This window comes from Homo sapiens, chromosome 20, assembly GCF_000001405.40.
Source record: "Homo sapiens chromosome 20, GRCh38.p14 Primary Assembly".
Taxonomy (NCBI): domain Eukaryota; kingdom Metazoa; phylum Chordata; class Mammalia; order Primates; family Hominidae; genus Homo; species Homo sapiens.
The window spans coordinates 61,217,572-61,243,418 of NC_000020.11; the positions used below are offsets into that span (position 1 = coordinate 61,217,572).

At 47.4% G+C, this 25,847-nt stretch overlaps 1 annotated feature.

Moving 5' to 3' along the window:
- Positions 2,210-3,409: an enhancer, noted in NCBI's record as "P300/CBP strongly-dependent group 1 enhancer chr20:59794837-59796036 (GRCh37/hg19 assembly coordinates)". NCBI's record gives its function as "activates an origin of replication core promoter dependent on BRD2, BRD4, P300/CBP, MED14 and CDK7 cofactors, with strong dependence on P300/CBP, by STARR-seq in HCT116 cells {active_cell/tissue: HCT116}" and the evidence as "EXISTENCE:reporter gene assay evidence [ECO:0000049][PMID:35650434]".

A 25,847-nucleotide genomic window follows, 5' to 3' on the forward strand; every position in this document is an offset into this window, starting at 1 on the left:
TGGTTACATGTATGTATGCACTTTGGAAAGTCACATCTTTAATGCTTATAAATTTTGATAGCTATCTGTCCACATATAGAGGACAATAGCTGCAGGTATAGGTGTAGGTACAGGTGTGGGTGCAGAGACAGGTACAGATGCAGATGGGATGTAGCTGTAGCTGCAGGTATAGGTGTAGGTAGAGATGCAGGTGTAGGTGTAGGTACAGGTGTGGGTGCAATACAGGCAAAGACATAGGTTCAGGTGTAGATGCAGATGTAGATATAGGTGCAGATGCAGGTGCAGATGTAGATGCAGGTGTAGGTGCATGTACAGGTGCAGGTACAGGGGTAGGTACAGGAATAGGTGCAAATGTAGATGTAGATGTAAATGTAGATGGAGGTGTAGGTACAGGTACAGGTTTAGTTGCAGGTGCAGATGCAGATGTAGATGTAGATGCAGGTGTAAATACAGGTGCAGGTGTAGGTGTAGATGCAGGTGCAGGTGTAGGTACAAGTGTAGTTATAGGTGTAGGTGTAGGTGCAAGTATAGGTGTAGATGTAGAGGCAAGTGCAGGTGTAGATATAAGTGTAGCTATAGGTGTACATGTGGCGTAGATGCAGGTGCAGGTGTAGGTGCAGATGCAGGTGCAGGTGTAGGTGCAGGTGCAGGTGTAGGTGCAGGTGTAGGTGCAGGTGCAGGTGTAGGTGCAGGTGCAGGTGTAGATGCAGGTGCAGGTGTAGGTGCAGGTGTAGGTGCAGGTGTAGGTGCAGGTGTAGATGCAGGTGTAGGTGCAGGTGTAGGTGCAGGTGTAGATGTAGATGTAGAGGCAAGTGCATGTGTAGGTATAAGTGTAGCTATAGGTGTACATGTGGCGTAGATGTAGGTGCAGGTGTAGATGTAGATGTAGGTGCAGGTGTAGATGTAGATGCAGGTGCAGGTGTAGATGTAGATGTAGGTGCAGGTCTAGGTACAAGTGTATGCACAGGTGTAGATGCAGGTACAGGAGTAGACGTAGGTGCGGGTATAGATGTTGGTACAGGTGTAGGTACAAGCGTACACACAGGTGTAGATGCAGGTGTAGGTACAGGTACAGGTGTAGATTCAGGTGTAGATGTAGGTGTAGGTGCAGGGACAGGTGTAGATTCAGGTGTAGATGTAGGTGTAGGTGCAGGGACAGGTGGAGACGCAGCTGTAGATGTAGATTTAGATGCAGGTGTAGGTGCAGGTACAGATGTAGGTGTGCAGTTTCAGGTACAGGTGCAGGTGTGGATGCAGATACAGTCATAGCTTAGGGAAACCATCCCTAACCATCTCAGGCAGAATCAGCACTTTGTTCATATCTCTGAGGTTTGACATCTTCCTTACATACCTGTAGCTCCCGGGTCTTAGTGAGTGGCAGGTGAGCTCCACACCTCTAGGGCCAGCCACATTGGGGCACACACAAAACACCCAATAAATGTCCATAAACACATGAAGGAGCTGGAATTCTTTATGTGCTTGTGTGTACTTTGGGCCTTTAATCATTTCCATGTGCCTAATTCCAGTTGCATGAAATCACACTTCCTTTATTGAGTCTCAAATGATTTTCTTCACATTGTACAAAAATTCCTCCCAAACTTGGGAATTGGGATTTGGAAAACAATCTCTTCTCCCTTCCTTCATTGCCTTCATGGCTGAATATATTTAATTAGCATCCTCTTGACCTTTCCATACCTTTCCATGTGGAAAATGACTCATCTTTGGGCCTGTCTTATGTGGAAGCCTATCTCTCTGCTCAGGCTGAGTGTCAGAGGGACAGCTTTGTGGGTTCCCTGAGCCAGGCTGGCCAGCTTCACAGCCAGGCTTCCAGTGCAGAGAACACCACCCTCCCTGGCACTTAGAGAAGAAAGAAGACAGAGGAACAATGTGCATTAGAGTCAAACGTGCTTGTCTTATGTCACTATCAAGGTAGGGTTCCCAGGATTAACAGAAAAGAAAAAAAGACATCCAGTTAAATTTGAAGATCAGATAAACAAATAATTTCTTGGTATATGTAGGTTTCATGCAAGAAACAATTTTTTTTTTTGAGACGGAGTCTTGCTCTGTTGCCCAGGCTGGAGTGCAGTGGCACAATCTTGGCTCACTGCAACCTCCACCTCCCTGGTTCAAGCAATTCTCTTGTCTCACCCTCTGGAGTAGCTGGGACTACAGGTGCCTGCCACCACACCTGGCTAAATTTTGTATTTTTAGTAGAGATGGGGTTTCAGCTTGTTGGTCAGGCTGATCTCGAACTCCTGACCTCAGGTGATCCACCCGCCTCAGCCTCCCAAAGTGCTGGGATTATAGGCATGAGCCACAATGCCTGGCCAAGAAACAATTTTTAAATGTAAGTGTGCCTCCACATATATGCAGAACATACTTACACTAACAAATTTGACTGTTTAGCTGAAATTGTAATATAATTTGGTGCTCTGCATTTATTGAACAACTCAAGATCATAGTGCATTTCGCCTAAGCCGTGTCACTGCACACAGTGACAAAACACAGTCCTGCCATCCTACTTATTCCTCACAAAAGTCCAGTGAGATGGGCAGAGCAGATGCCATTAGCTTCATCAAAATGAAGATATTTAACAAAACTCATAAGACTACAAGTGTCAAAACTTTTACCGAAAGGCAGGCTTCCTGGCTTTAATTTGACCATCTCCACACCTTTACCAGTGACACGGGTGACCTTCCTGCAGTAAAAGGTGACTCACCTGCTTCCTGTTGCTCATTACTCAAGTGCCATTTTTCCACTGGGAAGCTCCTGGCCCCACCCTGCATCCACGTGGTCAGGTTGATCTCAGACCCAGGTAGATCTCTGTCACCTACCGGCAAAAGGGTTTGGAGCATCCACTTCCATATCAAAATGTCAATCTTTAGAAATCTGCCCTGGGCAGAAATCTGACAAATATTTTTTAAGCACTTGCTATGTTCTAGGGACTGTAACAAGCACAGAGGAACTGGCAGTGAGCCTGCCCTCTGCCTTCGTGGAGCTCATCTTGGTGGTCAGGCAACTTTTTAACATGCTACGGCCAGGCTGTCTGCTCAGATTAAGAGGACATTGGAGTGACTGTCCTCTGGTCTAGTCACTCCCCTCCCAAATATCCAAATCCCAAAGAGCCAGTTCTGCAGGCGACATCACTACTTCCCATCTGAGAGTGGGTCCACCGCAGGCCATGTGGGCTGTCAGAGACAGCCCTGTGTACTTCCCTGTGTGCCAGTTATCCCTGAGTCGTCTTCCAGCACTGCCCCCAGATCTGTCCCTTCTCCCACAGCCACCGAAGGAATAAATCTTGCTTAAAACGCGTACATCCCAGCGCTAAGACCCTGGCAGGCGATGCACCCTACCTACTCCCAAGATTTACATCCTGAGTGTGAAAGTCAATAAAAACTAATTAAATGTTTACCTCATTTCCTTGGTAATGACCCTTACATGCCACTAATTGTCAAACTGAATCTATATGCAGGCGTTCCCTCTATTGGGGTCAGGGCTAATTTCTGCATACACAAAGAAACATCACCGCGGTTATTTACACCTGCGGCCGGTATGTTCTGTGCAGATGCTCGTGAGCTCATTTCCATAGGAGGAGGAGTTGGTGCCGAGATTTCAGCGCAATGAGCAGGGAATTAGGTATGCAACAACCATGAACAATAATGAGAGCCATGCACCTAATTCCCCGGCATCATCTTAAAAATTTGTTGTATTAAATAATGCTGTAATGTTATGTTAAGTAATGCAATGTTAAGTAACATTGACTTCAGCCTCATTAAATAATCTCCTTAACTATCATACTGGAAAACTAGTATCATTAGACAAATGCTATTTGTCATCAGCCATGATGTAATTGTTGCAGAAGATTCCATGCTAAGGAAAGAATTAATAAACAAAGCACCACAAATAGAGTGCCCTCCTCAAGGAGCACAAAAAGAAAAGTGAGAGGATCTGAAAGATACCTTAGGAGAGAGAGAACTCATAGCCTCCTCTGTTCCTTAAACCCAGAAACAGCCAGATAGAGCACCAAGGGGAAGACACCCATAACCCCCCACTTTAGCTCTGTCTCCTTTTGAGCCTGGCTGAAAGGCGAGCTCTGGGACAGGCATCATCTTGATGTGTTGCTGGAACAAGGAGGCAGCACGCAAACAGGACTCAGTAGGTTCACTTGCCAGCCTTTCTCCCTAATCAAAGGAGACTATGGAAAAACAACATGAGATAGCTTGAGAACTCCACCTTTCCCATGTGAAACCCACAATCAGTAAAGGGAAACACAGGGATATGTGCTTGCCTGTTATGACCTTATTCTCAGAGGTGATCATCAGAATCATGGGCATGCAAAGATGTCCACATTCTACTCTCCCAAACCAGTGAATAGATGAGATTCCATGATGAACGGGAATGAAGGCTACTATTCAGCTGACCTTACAGTAGGGAGATCACAGTGCCCTATCTGGGCAGGTCCAGTGTCATCCCAGGCTCCTTAAATGGGGAAGAGGAAGGCAGGAGGCTCACAGAGAAAGAACTGTGTCCCTGGGAGCAGAGTCTGAGAGATAGGATGTGGGACTCAGCCCACCATGGCTGGCTGTGAAGATGCAGGAAGGGGTCTCCAACCAAGGAATGCAGGTGGCTTCTAGCAGCTGGGAAGGGCAGGAAAGCAGACCCTCACTTAGGGCCTCCAGAAAGGAATGCAGCCCTTCGGATGCCTTGATTTCAGCCCAGTGAGACCGTGTCAGACTCCTGGACTCCAAAATGAGAATAAATACATGTTTTTCAAGCCACTACGTGTGCGGTAATTGGTTAAAGCAGCAGTAGAAAGCGAATGCATCTGTGATTCAGGAAATTCTCGGGCACTGCACAGCTGCGCAGAGTCAACACCACCCAGGTAGGCTCCCACCACCCACAAGCCAGCACTTCTAATGACCTGGCTGTGAAACTCGGCCGCTTCAACATAAATTTTATCAGCATCGGAGAAGAGAGAGGTTCGGCAGAGAGAAAGGGGTGAGCAGACACGTGGCTGCCCTCCATCAGAGCTCAGCATAGGGAGGGTGGGGCCAGCTCTCTGCGTGCCGAGTGAGCGGCTCCCCAAGCCGCTCTCCCAGAAGAGCACCTTCTCCTCAGCCAGCCTTTCTTTTGAGCAATTATTTGCTTGATTTTAGAGCTGAGAAAATGCATCTTTGGATGGTTTAATACATATCCAGGGCCCTATTGAGTAAGAGAGCTCCAGGGCAGGATTGGAACCCAGCTGAGTTTTGGCTCCCAAGGCCAAGTACAGGGCTCCATGATTTTAATGCATTTCCGTCAGCTAGAGGTAATAAAAAGATCAGTCTTGTTTGGGAAATGTCTATTAGGTTGGTGCAAAAGTAATTGCGGTTTTTGCAATGAACTTTAATGGCAAACCACAATTACTTTTGCACCAGCCTAATACTTTCAACTTGAGGCTTGCTTCTTGTCTTGTCTCTGCTAAGAGGTCTTACCAAAAGGGATCTTGAAGCTATATCCAAAATCAGTCTCTGGAGACGGATAAACACGACAGCCCTCTATGGCTTTGCCAGGCTCATGGTTGCGAGGGCTGAGAGTGATGTAATCCTGAGGGCCTCTTGTTATTAATCCCACCTCTCATGTGTACACAGAAATGCAGCCCACTGAGTGCCCAGTGGTGTATGGCTATCAGCTCACTGAGAGCCGTTGGCCACGTCTCGTGTGTGTATACACAGGAGTGTACACCAGAACAAAAAGGCGATAGTAGTATTTACATATGAGAAACTCTGCCTGCATTGGCAACGGCCCATTTTATGCTGAGTAGAAGTCAAAAGGGCATGATGTGGAGGGCAGCTGTAGATGCGCAACAGAACTTTCCGTGGTGCTGGGAAGGTTCTAGATCTGCGCTTTCCAACACAGGAGCCGCCAGAAACACAAGGCAACAGAGCACTTCTGTGACTCTTGGGACTGAGGAACTGAATATGTTAATTCCGTTAATTCACTTAATTTAAACTTAAATGCCCACACATGGCTAGTGGCTCTCATAGTTGACAGCATAGAATTGAAGAGATGTGTTCGAACTTATAATTGTGTATAAATCTCATTTTCCTCATTTAAAAATGTCCTTCAATCTGGAATATGGTCTGGGTGCTCTGACACATCTGGAGAGATTTGTGGGTGCTAAAGTGAAGCCGAAAAATGTGAGTCCAGAGTTAAAAATAGACACTCCAATGGCTAGTGGGCTTGGAATGGTCAGCTTTGCAGACAGGCTCATCCCAACCTCCAGGATCTAGAAATATAATCCTTGCGTGAAAAGCCATGCTCACTCATCCATCATCCTGTCATTGCTTCAAAAGACCTTTAGTCTGGATGTCTTGTATCTATTTCTTTGGTTACTGTACCTGTACCTGTCCATTTGCATTTCACATCATACCTCAACTGGAATCCATGCCCTGAGGTAGCCCACATTTCATTTGATTGCACTTGTGGAACCAATTCAAGTGTTCATTACAGCTATCAATTAAAAATGTAGTTCATCATAAAAAACATCCTTGAACTTTTTGGAGTTCAGAGAACCACAGTAGACAGGTGCCTGGTGGAGTGGGGACAGACTCCTGGGCTTTGCTACCCAACTCTCCCTCACCAGGGTAACCTGTTCTCATGTCTCACTCTCAGAATCCAGTGGAAGAAGAGCCACAGAACCACTGTCATCCTGGCATGATAAAGACCACTCGAGACACACATTTTTCAACTTCACTTTAGCACTCACAAATATCTCCAGATGCGTCAAAGCACCCAGGCCATAATCCAGATTGAATGACATTTTTAAACGAGGAAAACGAGATTTATAGATTGACTTGCCAGTTTCCGCGTCTTGTTCCTCATACTAAGCACCGTATATTTGACACGCGTTATTTAGGATGCTGTCTGATTGGGCTTCCCAGGGAAATGACAGCCTGTGATTCTCTGCCCCAGCTACAGGATCCCTGAAATTAGCCATCCTTACACCATGGAACTGAAGAGGAGAAGATTGTCTTTTCTCCTTCAGAGCCCATATTCTATTCCACACACTGGCTATGAAGTTATTTTATTGATCACAAGGGATCGGAGGTCCTGTTGAAATGTTATCTCTCAAAGCGAGACCCTGAACGAGTGGTGTAGGCAGCTCTTAAATATTTGTTCAGCCTGTGGCTGTGCTTTAAGCCGGTTAAAGGGCGCAGGATAAACACAGCAGACCTGGTGCACAGGCTTCCAGAGATTTCAGGAGACGAACAGGGGCTGCTACGCAGGGAAGGGAGGCTGCACTCTATGAATTATTGGCGTGAATATGTCAATATTTATCACTCCCAAGGAATGACAAAGAAACCAAAACCAACCAGGGCTTTCCTGAACCACACACAATCACGTGTATACAGGTTCCCAATGAGTGTTCCTTGAGAACCCCGTCTAATCTGTCAGGGCTCTTTGTTTACAATTCAAGAGACCCTGATTCCAATTACATTAAGGGAAAAAAGAATTTCTATGGAACAGTGGTCTAAACCCTGACTATTCCTTAGAATCACCTGCAAAACTTTGTTCAAATGCCAGTGCCCAGAGAACACTATGATTTGGTTAAAAAAAAACATTTCTGGGCATTGAGCTTTGAGAATCAGTATTTTTTAAGCTTCCCAAGGAATTTTAATTTGCAAAGGGGTTGGGCATCACTTACCAGAAGTTCTGGAAAGTTCTGGGTTGGGGGAAGACTGGAGAATCAGACTTAGGCACAGAAGCCCTCAAAAGCCCCAGGGAGGGTTCCATAGCCAGGGCCCCCCACAGGGATGAATGAGAGTCTGAGGGCAGAGCTCCAAGGGACAAGGTGATTGTGCCCAAACAAGGCCAGGCCCTCCGGCTGCCAGGCTGGAGGAAGGAAGCTGCTGCCCTCATCCCTCGGGCCCCTGAATGGGAAGCAGGCGTCAGAGCTACCTCCCTCTTGCAGCTCTGCACAGCACAGGCAAGATGAGTTCCCCACAGCTAAAGGGAAAAATGGGTGCTTGGACCTCCAAAATGTTCCCTGCAGCCATTTTGTCTGGATGTCATCAGATGCGTGATGGGATAGAAAAATGCATATTAGTCCAAAGTCTGTGGGCTCATCAATCCATGAACGGATAAAAAAACTGTGGTATATATATATACATATGCCGTGGAATACTACTCAGCCATAAAAAGGAACAAAATAATGATATTTGCAGGAACCTGGATGGAATTGGAGACTTTTATTCTAAGTGAAGTAACTCAGGAATGAAATGGCGAACATCATATGTTCTCACTCACAAGTGGGAGCTAAGCTATGAGGACACAAAGGCAGAAGAGAGAATGATACATTGGACTTTAGGGTGTCGGAGGAGAGGGAGGGAGGGGGTGAGAGATAAAAGACTACACACTGGGTAGAGTGTACACTGCTCGGGTGATGGACGCACCAAAATCTCAGAAATCAGCACTGAAGAACTTATTCATGTAACCAAACACCACCTGCTCCTCTAAAAACTATTGAAATTTTTTTAAAAAGTAAATTTAATTACCAGTGCTACAATAAAATTTAAAAAGTCTGCAGGCTAGAAACAAATTGTATAAGGTCTTTGAACCCAAGAATGGATATAGGATATGTTTTTGTTTTTCAAAGTATTTTTAAAATAACCTCAAAGCCTCCCATGCCATTGTGTTTTCTTATTTATCATTTTAATGATTTTAGAGAATACAATTCTGTAGCATTGGATACATCACGATGCTGTATCTATCCAGTTTTGGGACTTGGTCATCATCCCAAAAGGAAACCCTGAACCCAATAAGCAGTCACTCCCCTCCCTCAACCCCCAGCCCCTGGTAGCCAGTAGCCTGCTTTCTGTCTCTGTGGGTTTGCCTACCCGAGCAGTTCATTGAAATGGAGTCATAAATCTGTGGCCTTTGTGTCTGGCATCTCTCACTTAGCATGCTTTCGGGGTGCGTGATGCTGTAGCGGGCATCAGTGCTGCACGTCTCGTTATGGATGAACAGAATGTGCTATGGCCATACCGGGAATATACCCCACTCATTGTTTCTTAAGAGGAGCATCTTGCAGAAGCTGTGCACCATGACGCTCATTTTTACAAAGCCGGAGACAGGAAACACAACCAAGCACATTTGAGTGACTGTGTCCAGAGGCAGTATGCTCTGTCCTCCTGTCTCCATAGCCCCACCTGTTACTAAAAGTTCCCTTGCGGTCACTGGCGTGACCTGGGCCATGTGCTCCCAGAACAGGGGAGGCCACAGCGCTACCTGACCTCGTCATGTAGACTGGGTGTGGACAAGGCCTTGTTTCTCACAGGAAACCTCCTGGTGCCAAGAGAAGGGGCTGTGGACACGAAGGAGGCACAGATGCGAGATGCCCGAAGTAAATAAATGTGCTCCAGCTCCCGCTGAGGCTCTGAGACAGGTGGGCCGTCAGGACCTTTGTCTATGACTAGTGGCCTGGCTTGAGATCGGGGTAACCGTGATAATAGTGATTATAACACACACTTGCACGTCGCTCTCCAGTGCTCTTCAAAGCTGTCCATGAACCCACTCAATCCTCCTTCCCCTAAAGAGTGGGGATGCAAATTCCATTCCCACAGGCAGGGCCATGCTTAGCAAAGGGTTTCCTTGTAAACAAATGCCCCTCAAGCCAGGTGTTGAGGCTTTTCAAGGGGGCGGTCATGAAACTGATGCGCCCAATCTATCCCTCCTTCCCCCACATCAACATTTCACACAGTTCCTCGTTTCAGCTTCAAAGGCAAACCTTGGGTCTTAGATAAATTGGGGTTTATTTTCCCATCACTGTCTGTCCCCTCTGCCCATCACTCAGAGGCGCGTGCTGTTCACCACTCAGAACATGCTTAGGATCCACGCATCAATTTCAGTTTAAAAATCTATCTCGCACATACGCAGAGCAAATTAAATCAGATCAAGCAGAAATTGCCTTAAAGGGAGTTAATACTCTGACTAAATTCCTGCGTAAGGAGGCCCCACTAACCAGCTCTGCCACATTTAACCTAGTATCCGGGTCAGATTCCTGAACAAGACAGGGCTCCCTTGGGTATCTTTTTGAGAACTGGCCCTAGGAAATCTCATTCACCTTACAGCTCTGGATTCCAATTTATGGCAAGGGTTTGCTGCCTACCAGAACAATGGAGTAATAGCAAACGATTTTAAATGGGTGGATGGGTTTAGGATATTGTCTATTCAAAATGTGAAAAATGCATACAGTGTTTTGGGAGCGTTTAAAATGGAGGCAACTATTTTCATAGCTAGAAATTGGAAAATACTCAAAAGCCAATGGGAGGATGTAGAGAGGCAAATTGTGAAAATAAAATGGATATAAAATTGCCACTGGAAATAACAGTTACAAGGCTTGGGCAGAGCCCACATAAAAACCACAAGAGGGGTCCCTGTGGCCAGCAGAATAATGCCTCCCGCCAAAAAAAGTCACACCCTAATGTCCAAAACCTGTGAAATATGGTACCTCACGTGGCAAAAGGAACTTTGCAGATGTGATTAAGGAACTTGAGTGAGTGATTACTAAAGATGGAGGAAGGGGCCATGACCCAAGAAATGCAGCGGCCTCTAGAAACTGGATGGATTCTCCCTGGAGCCTTCAGCCCAGCAAGATCCATTGTAGTCTTCCGACCTCCAGAACCTGGAGTTGGTAACTTCGTATCATTTGCAGTAATTTGTCACAGCTGCAATAGGAAACTTACACAGCTCTGGAGTCCACTGGCCCTGTTCAGATCACCCACATGCACCCCGGCACCGCAAAGCCTCTCCTGCAATGTCAAGGTCATTAGCATACCTACTCCACAGGACCATTTTACACATTAAGTGAGATGGTGCCTGGAGAGGCACCTGGCCCATCATGCAATGTGTGTAAGTCATCATTAGAGCCAAAAAAGGAAGTGCTATGGACCAGAAGATGCAAAATGTTGAATTTGTAATGATAGCAAGGATATAAATCACGATCGTGTAAATAGCAGGCTTATCACAGAGCTGGATTTTTTGTAGCAGTTACAGATTTGCAAGTTAGAGCTACTTCACTTGAACGTGGAGCTAATGGTATTAGGATGCTCTTTTTCGTTTTGTTCATTCATCCATCCATTCATACAGCAAGCATTTGAGAACCCCTGATGCCGGGCTCCGGGCTCTGGGCTCCGGGCTCTGGGCTCTGGGCTCTGGGCTCTGGGCGGGACCCTGGGAAGCCGCATGCCTCCATGCTCTCGCTGCGTAGAACCAGAGCTCTGCTGATTGAATATACATGAACTATAAAGAGGCCCCAGATGAGGAGATCATTTTGGGCCCTGCAATCTCAGGTGAGTCCTTTGCAGTCTCTGGACGATGCTGGAAATTGTGGCGTTGTTCTATAATGCAAAAGGGAAAGAGGTTTTATTCCCACAAGTCTGAGCTTTTTGAGATGGGAACTTTCTATTTTGTTCTTACTTCCCAGAGATAAAACCAAAGCCTTTTTATTTATGCTGCACAAGCTCAATACTTTATTTGCCCTTCACCATTTTTTTGCAAGTAAATTTCTTTCTCCCCGCAGTTTTCCCGCAACCGGTTGGTCTGTGATTCTCGCAGTGTCTCTTTTCCCTTGGGAATGTGTTCTTCCTTCCTCCTTGTTAGCCAGGCCTGGGGAAGGACGGGACGCATCACTGCTGATGCCCCTTCTGAAACCCCCTGCAGGCGCGGCTGCACCTCAAGCCCGGCGGGGCGAGGACGCTGAGCTGCAGACAGCGCCACCTAGCGTCCGAGAGCCACGGCGCACCGGCTGTGCGCATCTCTGGGCGAGACTGGAATGGAAAAAAATAGGTCTTTGTAAATCACCACCTCATTTTGTTCCTAGAGCTCTGTGTGTATCTGAAAGCTATGTTGGAATTTGCAGGCAGTAGCAAACTATGAATTGAAGAGAATTAATAAATGCATGCCTGTCTATTGATATGTTCAACAGAACCCTAAGAAATTACCATTTAGACATCAAAAAATGGATCAACCTAATATTTGTATAGGAGAACTAGAGAAACAAAGGATATATATATATATATATATATATATATATATATATATATATATATATATATATATATATATATATATATTCCCATTCCAGGGAAATTCTGATAATGTGGGAGGTTTTCGTTGTTGTCGCTTGTTTGTTTTGTTTTGATTTTTTGAGACGGAGTCTTATTCTGTAGCCCGGGCTGGAGTGCAGTGGCGTGATCTTGGCTCACTGCAACCTCCGCCTCCCAGATTCAAGTGATTGTCCTGTCTCAGCCTCCCGAGTAGCTGGGATTACAGATGCCCACCACATCTGGCTAATTTTTGTATTTTTAGTAGAGACAGGGTTTCACCATGTTGGCCAGGCTGGTCTTGAACTCCTGACTTCAAGTGATCCGTCTGCCTCTGCCTCCCAAAGTGCTGGGATTACAGACGTGAGCCACCGCATCCAGCCTGATAATGTGTTTAAGAATAAGTAACAGAGTTAAGCAATCTGGCTCCTGAACTTCATAATAAAGCCATTAATTTATTTATTTTTAACATGTTTGTTGTTTTTCATAAATGTCGGACTCCTACTCCCTGTGGCTGCCTCACCTCTGCTTCTCCTTCACTGGCCAGGTGCAGGCAGGAGGGAGAAGGACACTCCACGCCCCACGTGGCCCATTGGTTCCCAAGCCATCTGCCGACCTCAATTCTGGACTCTCTGAAGGAAGACCTTGATTGGCTACTCCTGCCCAATGGGGAGCGTGCCTCCAGGTCACATGTCCATGCTAGGTCAATCAGCTGAGGCCAGGAAGGGCTGTTGCTCACCTGCTTTTCTCCCCTCCCTCCCTGCCACCAGCCCAGCCCAGGTTGCTGCACTCCCCATTGCCTTTGCGTGGGTTGCTCTGCGGCCTCTCCTCTCAGTGCTGTCTCCTTCCGGAAGCCTTTCCAGATCCCGCCACGGAATGTGGGATGTCCCCCCAACCACACAGTCTCTGCCAGGAATTCTGTCTTCTGTCTTAACGGTGTTTGCCCTGCAAGCCAGGCCCCTCTGGCCTGCTATGTCCCTGTGCTCCGGGTGTCTAGGCCCACCCACAGTGTTGATAATGAAGATAACTGCTGCAGACAGGGCACTTGTCCTTGTCCCATGCCTGGAGAGCAGCACAGATTTGAACAGACACTTCCCCAGAGAAGATATACAGATGGCAAATATGCACATGCAAAGGCGTTCAGCGCTGTCAGCCACCAGGGAAATGCAAATTAAAGCCACTGGTGAGACATGTCACATGCCTATTAGAATAAATGGGAAATTTAAAAAAAAAACAGCTAAAACAAAACAATAAACTGGCAAAACCAAGTGCCGAGGAGGATTTGGAGCAACCGGAACTCTCCTGCATTACTGGTGGGAATGCAAAATACAGCAGCCACTATGGAAAACAGTCCAGTCTGGGAGCTTCCTATGAAGTGAAGCCTACAGAGTTGCCACATGACCCCACAACCCTACTCTTAGGTGTTTATCTAACAGAAACAAAATATATGTCTATACAATAGACATGTGTTGATAACAGACCTTAGTCCTACTTGTAATCACCAAATACTGGCAACAATCCAAGTGTCCCTTAGCAAGGAAAACAACAACAACAAACTACTGAAGCATTTAACAACTCTCAGAACTGCACACTAAAAGGGTAAATTTTACTGACTGTAAGTGATATTTTCATTTTTAAAACGCCTTTTAGGGCTTTTTCTGTATCGGCAAATTCCACGATGCCTGTCTGCCCCAACTGGTAAAACAGCAGCAAATTTCTAGAATGTTCTTCTTCCTCTCCCAACCCTGCTCCCATTCCCCATGCTGTGAAGGAGTCTCCATGCCTAGGGTTAGGCTGACCAAATGATGGCTCCCCTGCTTCTGAGCAAGGTGTATCCAAGGTCAAGTCCACAGGCCTGTTTGGAATCTCCACCAGGCCCAGCCTCCACACACTTGGCACCTGCCGAGCAAAGGGCATGTTGAGTGTCCACTCTGAGCTCAGCACGGCACCGGGGGCCTGGGGCTAGGCTGGCAGGAGGATTCCCTAGACAGAGAAGGCAAACTGCATCAAAGTTCCAGCAACAGACCTCCTGCCTAGTAAAACCACAACAGTGCACAAATAAACATTGCTATACACTCTTGAGAACTTGCTGCCAGCCAGGCAGGGGATAAGCACTGTGGGGAGCCCGTCATCCAATGTTCACCACAGCCATTATTGTCCCCATTATGTGGGACAGAAAACTGACACGGGGTTCTCAGTTACTGCTGGAGGGTGACCTACTGACATTCGGGCCTGGGCCTTGCACTGCCAGAGTGAGTGCGTGAGCCCCCAGGAACACTGACAAACCTGCTATGGACTTAATGTATACCCCTGAAATTCATGTGCTTACACCCTAACCCCCAGCATGACGGTATTCAGAGATGGGGGCTTGGGAAGGAAATCAAGGTTAGATGAGGTCATGAGGGTGGCTCTGTGACCTTAAAAGAAGAGAAAAAGAGATATCTGTCCGTGCACACCTATTGAGAAAGGCCATGTGAGGACGCAGCAAGAAGGCTGCTGTCTGCAAGCCAGGAAGAGAGCCCTCACCTGGAACCATGCTGGCTGGAACCTCAGTCTTGGATTTTTCAGCCTCCAGAACTCTGAGAAATAAGCTTCTGACTTGCATGTATCAAACTCTACTCCTCACCAGCTGCCTGCAAAAGACTTATTATCATTTCTTTTCAAAATGGAGTGAGGCCACCTTACCCTTGCACACTTGGCACCTGCCATGTCTCCCTTGGTCCCCGCTCTGGTTCTTAGTCTCACACTGTGGTGGGCTTCATTGAGACACTGAGATTCACTTTCATCCCAAGTGCCCTGCTGGCTTCTGACATCTCCCTTGCTTACTCCAAAAGCCTTCCAGGTGTGTTCAGAGGACGGTGTGTGGCCCCAAGGCAACTCTTCCACCAAGAAAGGCTAATCTTCAGGAGATCTCTTCAAGGGAGGCTGGGCCTGGGGGGCAGGCAGCAAACCCAAGCTGAACCAGGTTAACAAAGGTTGACCCAGGCCAACTCAAACTACTCCATGTCAGCCCAGGCCCAACCCAAGCTAAACCAGGTCAACAGGGGTCAACCCAGACCAACTTAAGCTAAACTAGGTCAACAGAAGTCAACCTAAGCCAAAGCAGGTCAACACAAGTCAACCCTGGATAACACAGGCCAATCGAGGCCAAACCATGTCTATCCACCTTGGCTGGGCTTCAGCAGCATTCACCTCGACTAGGTGAATGGGGTAGCTGCATCTCACAGACCTGAGGAAGCAAGAGGTGCAGCCCAGGGCCTTTGAATGCTCTTGAAATGCATGCTTCTCCCAATTAAACACTGCCCATTAAAGGGTCTAATGGGGATCAGCGTCCAGGAGTTGCCAAAAAGGCCCTGCCAGGCTCACCCCAACAGCCCACGCGCATACCAACAGCCCAGGCACACCCCAACAGCCCAGGCACATCCCAACAGCCCAGGCTCACCCCAACAGCCCAGGAATACCCCAACAGCCCAGACACAACCCAACATCCCAGACACACCCCAACAGCCCAGGCTCACTCCAACAGCCCAGGCTCACCCCAACAGTCCAGGCTCACCCCAACAGCCCAGGAACACTCCAACAGTCCAGACACAACCCAACATCCCAGACACACCCCAACAGCACAGGCTCACCCCAACAGCCCAGGCTCACTCCAACAGCTGGATCATTTGCCAGCACATTGTGCTGCTGGATCATTACACTGCCAGCGACTTGACATCACTTTCAAAGCACTGCTTAATTTCAATAATTATAAAGCTTCCTGGCCTCTGAAAAATAAGTGTGAAGCCTCTCCACATGCAGGCAGAGCCAGGGTGGGGAGCAGTGTCAGAGCTTGGCCTCGCCCTCCTGCACGGCTTCCGTTCTCCCTAATTTGCGTTTGCCCAGAGCGACAGGAAATCCAGAGGCTGCAGATGCGTTACTAACTTGCAACCCCCGTCAATCATGATGAGGTTTTACATTATTGGATATGAGTTTGGGGTGAATTATTCAGGTTTCATATTTTGATGAATGGGGAAAAATGCAACACAGAACCCTGTGCATGTGTGAGTGTGTGCATGAGTATGTGAGTGTGTGTGCATAAGTGTGTGCATGTGAGTGTGCACGTGTATGTGCATGAATGTGTGTGTGACTGTATTGCGCATGTGTGTGACTGTGTCTGCATGAGTGTGTGTGAGTGTGCGCATGAGTGTGAGTGTGTGTCTGCATGAGTGTGTGAGTCTGTGAGTGTGTGCATGAGTGTGTGAGTGTGCGCATGAGTGTGTGTGTGCGTGCATTTCAGGGAAACAAATGTCACCATTAGCAATCCCCACTAATACCGTCCTGTGAAGAATTTTCTGCAAATCTCTTGTGCATAGCGCGCAAAGGGGTGGGTGCTCCCCGTGAGAGATGTAGCCCATTTTTCTGAGAGACATTTGCCTTTCCTTAAACAGCAGTAACAGCATTATGGTACCCGCTGCTCTAGTTGTGGAACGACTATTTTACAAAGTTTTCAGGGAAAATCTGTGTGCTCTCATGTATTGTACAAACAAGGGTGTGGCATTCATTCTGTCATGGAAAAATACCTACTATTGCACTGTCTGGGAAACAGGTTTTTCAATAATAAACAAGACCTCACGGCCCCCCAAATCTCATGGTGCTTCCCGGTTGCTATGGACCAACATCGGAGCACCCTTTCTAACTGCCTGATGGAAACGTAAGCAGTGGCTTTGTGGTTATTTTCAGGCGAGAGCTGAGTATCACCAGACTGCTCCATTATCACCTCTGATAAATTGGGAGACTCGCCTGGTGACACTGCGTCTCCACTGTCCCTTCCATCTGTAAATAAGGGGTGGCCTCCTTGCTCCATGACAGCTGACCTTGGCAAGAAGACTGGGCATCTCAGGCCTTCAAAAACACTGTCATGGAGGGATGTGATTTTGTTTCACAACCTTTCCTTCCTCCCAGATTTATGTATTCGCTAATCACCTGTTCAAGACACTTGCCTTTTCTACCTATTTAGATAGCCTGAGCCTGTGCCTGGGTCAATTGGCTACGCACGGCAGTTGGGGAGAAACGGGCTGCACTTGAAAGCTGATCTCTGGTCTCCAAGCTTAGTTGGCTTTAATGGTGTTATTACTACACCTCCTCCACCTCATATTATTAATTTCATTTATAGCAGAACCAATAACTCATCCATTCAAGGCAGTTTGTCATGCATACCTGTAAATAGATTGAAAGTTTGCTGAAGCATGCCGGGTAAACACGACTGCAGCGTCTGCTTGTCTCCTGGAATCGCGCCAAGTTCTTTAGATTCGGGCGATATTTTTTAGAATGCATATGAATTTATGCTACAAAGGCAACCTCGCCACCTCAGCCCCCGCCGCCGTCACCCCTGAAATTCCATTTAGTTTCAATTTTACTGCTCCAGCCCGGCTCTGTTTGAGCTGCACCCTGTGAAGGTGAAATGTCACCGCCATCATTTTTGTATTGATTTAGAAGAGTCGCCTCGGTGTGCACCGGCTCCTGCGGGTTTCTGTTCAGTGACCTGAGCTGAAAGTACTTCGCTCTGTGCAAGGTGAGCACAGGGAGCTAAGACTACCCCGGAGGAGGAGCCCACGGCAGCAGGGGAAGGGGCCTGCGGGACACAGGGAGGAACGGTGAGCTCCCACCCACGCTGCTACCCCAGGGGGTCTGGAGTCACCAGGAAGCGTTCTTGGTGCAGCCACTGTGAATAATTAAAGGGGTTCTGCATATCTGGAGCAGAACCTATGCTTAGAACAGAAAATTCCTTTTTATTTTAAGACTCCATCTAAAGGAAAGTAAAATGGATGCCTAGGAGTACTACAGATATATGTTCCTTTTGACACCAGCTCTATTGCCCAAAGTCACAAATGCCATAATGCAAACTCAGGAGTTCCCTGGGCTATTAGGGAGGGACTCCAGACCTTGGGCTGAGAGCCACAGATCAGTGTCACTGTCTCATGGATGCAGTGGTTTTGGCCTTCCCAGCCTCCGCCACCGCCGCCTTCTGGTAACAGACCCTCAACTTTCAGTGGGAGATTTCACCCTCGTCAGTGAGATTTGAGTAGACTGACTCCACTCTGACCTCCAGTTGTGGTCCTGTGGCTGAGACCTGGCCAATCAGAGCATCCAGTCATCCTGGCATAGTGACAGGCTCACAGAGAGCTACAGAGAGAGCTACCAGGTTAGTCCAGGGTAGCTACCAGGCTCAGAGAGAGCTACCAGGTTAGTCCAATGATGTCTTTTTGCCAAAATAATTAAATATGCTCAGCTCCCTGCTGCTGGGGTTGCTGAGAAGGTAGGGTATAAACTTAGAGCCACTGGTGGCATTCTTGCTACTAGAAGGAGAAAGCTTCATTCAAAATGAAGCTACTGTGAGCAAATAGAAAAGGAGACAAAGCCCACAGGTCAGGAGAAATCGATTGAGCACCTCGATCCAGCCATGCCTGAATTCAGCCACATCTGTCTCGGCTTTTGAGTTACCTAAGCCAACATATATACTTTTTTAAAAATCATAAGCTAGTGTGAGTTGGGATTCACTCTTTTCTGGCTGAAACAAAGATCCTGTTGATACAAAGGAGAGCCCAAATACCAAGATCAGGCGCCTCGCCCATCCTCCTGACACTTGTCAAGCTTTCCTTACGACCACAAAAGTCCGATTCTAAATTCCGGGTAGATTTTGGATTCCTCCAAGTGCTGTCCTTTGTAAAATCAATCTCTCAAGGTATTAGAGTGCAAAGTGATCCGATTATTTGGAGGAAATGTACCTTTTTTTTTTTTGAGACAGAGTCTCCCTCTGTAATCTAGGCTGGAGTGCAGTAACGCAATCTTGGCTCACCGCAGCCTCTGCCTCCTGGGTTCAAGTGATTCTCCTGCCTCAACCTCTTGAGTAGCTCAGATTACATTCATGTACCACCATGCCTGGCTAATTTTTGTATTTTTATTAGATATGGGGTTTTGCCATGTTGGCCAGGCTGGCCTTAAACTCCTGGCCTCAAGTGATCTGCCCACCTCAGCCTCCCAAAGTGCTGGGATTACAGGCATGAGCCACCATGCCCGCCAAAATGTACCATTTTAAAATAAAAAGGGAACGGCTTTTCCTCCAGGAGTTTTCTTTGCACCTGGTGTCACTATTCCTCCAGCGTTTCCAGCCTCCCCCTCCACCCTCTTCTTCCTGCTTTGGAGGCAGCTGGCTCTTCCTCCAGCCCACAGATGCATCTTTACTCCCAGCTCTCCAGCTCATGCCCTTGGATTCAGAGAAGAGGTGGATAGCCAAGCCCTTTGCCCCGGGGCTGCCACTGTCTCCCCTCTATCAGTGGCCTTAGATAATGTGTGTGAATACACATGACTCAAGCTGAACTATTAATTTTACTTTATTTTGCATACCAGAGTCAATGGCATTTTGAACACAACAGGGAAAATCTATGTAAATGAATATGCACCATTGTGTAAAATGGCTATGCAAATACATGCCCCTGGAGGTGGCTATGCTGCCATTGAATTTTCCAACATAGGGGGCCTGTGTCCTGACTTTGGTTTAGACCTCAGAAAAACAGAAAATCAGAAAATACTTGGGTTTCTGATTGCAGCAAAGATGCTGACTGGGTTAGTGGCCCCTTGCTTCCCTTTGAATGGAAGCTTTTCTTGCTTCCAGAAGATGCTGGGAGGTAAAAAGTTCGATTTCAGTTGTATGGTTTGAAAACAAGAACTGGATTTTGATTCTACGTAAATGTGGCTAAAACCTTCTGTGTGCCCTCTGCCCAAATGCGCTACTTGGAGTGACTTCCCTCTGCTAATTTTGGACTTGATTTATTCTTCCTTTTCTAGTTCCTTGAGGTCTAACATTGGGTTGTTGATTTGAGAGTTTCTTCTTTTTTAATGTAGGCATTCATCACTATAAACCTCCCTCTTAGCATTGCTTTTGCGTACTCCATAAGTATGTTGTGTTGGGTTTTCGTTTGTCTCAGGATATTTTCTAATATATCCCCCTTTGGAGTTGTCCTTTGGCCCATTGGCTATTCCAGGGTGGGAGGTTTAATGTCCACATCTCTGTGAGTTTCCCAGTATTCCTTTCACTGTTGATTTCTAGTTTCATTCCATAGTGATTGGAAAAAATACTTGGTGTGATCTCAGTCTTCTTCAATTAGTTAAGACTTGTTTGGTGACATCATCTGTCACCTGTCCTGGAGAATGCTCCCTATGTGCTTGAGGGAGGACGTATCTGCAGCCCCATGTTCCCTGCAGTAACATCCACAATAGCCACCATATGGCAGGAGCCTAGTCCATCGATGGATGAATAAAGAAAGTGCACTCTATTCATACACTGGAACACTATTCAGCCTGTAAGAAGAAGGAAGTCCTGCCGTATGCAACAACGTGGATGAACCTGGATGAACCTGGAGAACATTACAATCATGAAAGAAGGCAGTCACCACAGGACAAATACCACATGATTCCAGTTATAGGAGGTTCCCAGGGAAGGCAAATTCACACAGACAAAAACTAGCATGGTGGTTTCCAGGGGCTTGGGAAGGGAAAAATGTGAGCTGCCGGTCAGCGGTACGATGTTCTGGTTACATGGCATGACTAAGATCAAGGATCTGTTGCACAACATTGTATCTACACCAAACAGTGTGTATCGTTGTGTCTACGCCAAACAGTGCTGTATCGTTGTGTCTATGCCAAACAGTGTGTATCTTTGTGTCTACGCCAAACAGTGTGTATCGTTGTGTCTACGCCAAACAGTGTGTATTGTTGTGTCTACACCAAACAGTGTGTATTGTTGTGTCTACACCAAAGAGTGCTGTATCGTTGTGTCTACACCAAACAGTGCTGTATCGTTGTGTCTACACTAAACAGTGCTGTATCGTTGTGTCTACACTAAACAGTGCTGTATCGTTGTGTCTATGCTAAACAATGCTGTCTTGTACACTGAAAAGTTTAAGAGTGTAAGCCTCCTGTTAAGTGTACTTACCACTAAATAGAAAAAAGTAAATAAACAAATAAATTTGCATTTAGTTTTTAAAAGATTATTTTAGAAGTAGGGAGAGAGAAAAGGTGGAGAAGCCAACAAGAGTGAGTTACTGAGCTGGTCCCTGATTGAGAATCTGGGGCTGGGGCAGGGGCCGGTCTCTCAGAACCGGAGAAACACACTCAGAAAAAGGCCTTTCCCTGTTCATTTTGAATAGCACAGTTCTTCCGTCCCATCGAATCACTCTGATAACCTGAGAGATTGGTTTTACAAAGGACAGGAGCCTGGGAGGGCACATCCGTCAACTCCAGCCGCTGCTGATTGCCCCCAGGGGATTACCAGTATGCCTCCCCACACACACACACACACACACACACACTCTCTCTCTCTCTCTCTCTCTCTCAGCTCAGCCTGCACACATCTGAGGAGCCCCTGAAGCCAGAAGACATGGCCAGGACTGAGAGTGGCAGACAGTAGCTTGGGTGGGAGCAGCCCCCCACAGCAGCCCCTGACATCAGCATTGGACCTAGGCAATGCATCATGGGACACCAATGTATCCACTGTGACATGGAGAAGCCCTCCTTGACCATCCATTCATGGGACACCAGTGTGTCCACTGTGACACAGAGACGCCCTCTTTGACCATCCATTCATGGGACACCAGTGTGTCCACTGTGACACGGAGACACCCTCCTTGACCATCCATTCACGGGACACCAGTGTGTCCACTGTGACATGGAGACGCCCTCTTTGACCATCCATTCATGGGGCACCAGTGTGTCCACTGTGACACGGAGACGCCCTCTTTGACCATCCATTCATGGGACACCAGTGTGTCCACTGTGACATGGAGACACCCTCCTTGACCATCCATTCATGGGACACCAGTGTGTCCACTGTGACACGGAGAAGCCCTCCTTGACCATCCATTCTGAACTGGCCTCTGCATTTTCCCTACCCTTTGGGGACACTGGGGATATGACTTGGCTGGGGGACACTTCAAGAAAGAGCCAGCCTTGGGGCCACCACATTCACTGGTCTGGAATTGAACACTGTGGATCTGGGATTGCCTTTAGCAAACCACCCATCCTACATTTCATTTGCAAGATGAGCTTAGAGAGGAGAACAAATTGGGCAGAACCTGCTGCCTCCTGCTCCTGGGATAAGTTGCCCCCACCAAGTAAAGTTTGGAAAGTCTATTCCTTCCTCGGCTGTATGTTCTTGCTCATTCTGTCCTTGCTTTGTGGGTTTTCCATGTGTAATGAGGTAGGGAGAGCAAGCTCCGTGGATGCTGCCCCTCCAATGCAGCTGCCACACAATGGTGGCCCTGGGGCCAGCGTCGTGATGTCAGCCTCCAATTGTCAGGGGAAGCAGAGAACTTTAGAATTACAGAAGCTTCATCCCTGGCTTGGTTCCTACATTGATTCTCTTAGAGCCAATTAATGTCCCATTTTCCCCAATATATCTTTCTCTTAGGGCACTATGTCTAATGCTGGGAGCAATAAGAGGCAACGTTCTCTGCTTTCCTTTGCTTGATTACTACACACTCAACTCACACACAGCCCACCTCCTGAGCAACTCTACAGGCTCATTTGAGGCAGCTCAGTCTTTAAGAAAACAACAGGGCAGATTCCCAAGGAAAGACATGTAACCCATATTTTAGCCTCTTGAAAGGCATCGTTTCACCCCTTTTAAAAAAATCCTTCCCCTTCCCTCCTCTTCCCCTTCCCCATCCTTCTGTGGTTGAAAACCTGAAATACATGATTTCTGTCTTGTTTCTCTCCCGCAAACAAGAGTGAGAGCAGAGTAACGCATTCCATATGTGAAGGGCAGGCGTGGAGAGGGTGTGCAAGCAGCGTCAGCACCTCCCGGGAATGGGCTACTTCCTTCCAGCTGTGTGAGTGAAGAAAAACCTCATTACGGACATGGTTGGTATTTCTAGGGTCTGAGCTCTGTGTCTGAGGCTGAATCAACTAGAGGTTGAGCCGATTGGCTGTCCTCTGTGGGCACAGGGAAGCATGGGGACCTCCAGCCACCCCATAGCCTCAAACAGCTGCCCAGGGCAGCCTCTGAGCTCCCCGGCATCAACGGCATGGTGGAAGCGAGAGTGGGCTTTCTTCCCATGTCTCACCCACCAGTGGTTAATTGGAAGTGAGAGTGGGCTTTCTTCAACCACCAGTGGTTAAGTGAGCAGGCTTTGGATACAAGGGTATGGATCTGAGTCAACTGTGCCTCTTAAGTAGAACAGTGTTAAAGCTGGTTATCTACTGTGGTGCAGTGAATCATCCCATAACCTAGTAGCTTAAAACAATCATCTTGGATTGTATCTCACAATTTTATGGGTCAGGAATTCAGACAGGGCTCAGCCAGACGGTTCATCTGTTCCAGGTGATGTGAATGGGGCTCATTTGGTGGCACTCAGCCAAGGAATGGTCTGGCCTAGAGGCTCTGGAGAACTTCAGGCTCATGCCTGGTACCTTGGCAAGTACAGCTGGAGGTGACCTACACGTGGCCTCTGCAGCACAGTGGTCTCAGGGTCCTTAGACCGCTTATACAGCAGCTCAGGGGCCCAGACAAAATGGCCCAAGAGGCCCCAGTGTGAGCTGCATAGCTTCTCGTGATCTAGTCTTGAAGATCTAGCAGTTTGATTGCATTGTATCCAGTGAACAAGCTGCTAAGGCTCGTCCAGATTTCATGAAGGGGACTCCATCCTCCTGTATCACTGATATGAACCGCAAAGAACACCAGCACCTTCAGTCTACCACAGCAGAGCTGCTTCCTCTCCGTTAAGTCTCATTTCTCCCTCAGAGAGTGGGAGCAAGAATGAAATGAGAGACTGTGCTTAAAGTACTCAGTCTGCAGCCTTTGAATAGGGTAGGAAGATGGCCCTTCTTTTCGTTGGTGCAGGAAGATTGGAAATTTCCTGGGTATGGAGCTTCTCAGAAACCTCAGACCAAGAGTCCAAGACCAAGAGTCCAAGTCACCCACCTAGGACCTGACTCTTCCTCCAGCTGTGAGAGAGAGCTCCCATACTTTCATGATATTCCTCCAAACAATGAATTTCAAGTGCAATAAATTGGATCTTTCATAGAGAAGACAATGGCACACTCACTAAAGATCATTATCTCTTAAAAGCAATGACTGTTGGTTGAGAATGTGCCTTTCCCAGCAATAGTTTATAAATGAAAGGCAAATCATAATAGTCTTTGAGTTTCCCCAAAGAGGGAGACTATTTATAAATGCAGAGTGCTTCAGACTTGCCAATTCCCCATGCTTAAGTTCCTAAGTGGGAGAGAGCAGGGCAATGTTGTTAATTGACGTCTAAAATATTGTACTGTGAGAGGTGCTCACAGGACTCCATGGGACACCATGCATGCTACCTGCAGGCTGCAGGGGACAGCACAGTGATGAGGGTGAGGCAGGATAGGATAGCTCCTAAATTGTGGCTTAGCCTGGGAGGGTTCTTGGCTTAGCCTAGGAAATAATTTAAGGGTGAGCTGGTGGTGTTAGACAGCAGCTTTTATTGAAGTGGCCATGCACAGCAGCAGCAGAAGGACCCCTCCTTGTGAGGTAGGGCTCCCCCATAGGCAGTGCGCCCAGAGCAGCAGCTCAGAGATGGTGCTACCCTCATATTTATACCCGCTTTTAAGTTACATGCAAATTAAGGGGCAGATTATGCAGACATTTCTAGAAATAGGGTGGTAACTTCCAGGTGGTCAGGTCATTGCTATGGAAAGGGAGGGTAATACCTGGGTGTTGCCATGGTGATTGTAAACTGATGTGGCACACTGGTGGGCGTGTCTTATGGAAAGCTGTTTCCACCCCATCCCTGTTTTAGCTAGTCCTCAGTTTGGTCCAGTGTCTGAGCCCAGCCCCTGGAATTGAGTCCCACCTCCTACCTCAAGGGGACAGGAGAGGAGTTGCACAGTCACTCAGCCCGACCCCCAAGCTCACAGTCAAAGCTGGGGCAGAGTAACCAAATCCTTCTGGCCAGGCAGGAGGCAGAGGCTCGCTGTTGAAATGATAGGTGGGGCTGGCCATGTAGGGAAGGCAAGAAGCCATTAGCTTATCTGAAATTCATTTAGGGGGAAGGTGGACAAGGAAGTACCTCAGTCTCCACTATTCAAAACCCAGGGAGCTTGAAAGCAAGTGGTACATCCTGAACCTGGTGAATGGGTATGTCCTTAAACTGGTGAATGGGTATGTCCTTAAACTGGTGAATGGAGACGTCCTTAAACTGGTGAATGGTGACATCCTTAAACTGGTGAATGGGTACGTCCTTAAACTGGTGAATGGGTACGTCCTTAAACTGGTGAATGGGTACGTCCTTAAACTGGTGAATGGGGACGTCCTTAAACTGGTGAATGGGGACGTCCTTAAACTGGTGAATGGGGACGTCCTTAAACTGGTGAATGGGGACGTCCTTAAACTGGTGAATGGGGACGTCCTTAAACTGGTGAATGGGGACGTCCTTAAACTGGTGAATGGGGACGTCCTTAAACTGGTGAATGGGGACGTCCTTAAACTGGTGAATGGGGACGTCCTTAAACTGGTGAATGGGGACGTCCTTAAACTGGTGAATGGGGCCGTCCTTAAACTGGTGAATGGGGCCGTCCTTAAACTGGTGAATGGGGACGTCCTTAAACTGGTGAATGGGGACGTCCTTAAACTGGTGAATGGGGACGTCCTTAAACTGGTGAATGGGTACGTCCTTAAACTGGTGAATGGGTACGTCCTTAAACTGGTGAATGGGTAAAAAAATCGTGGGGCATCCATGCAGTGGGATATTA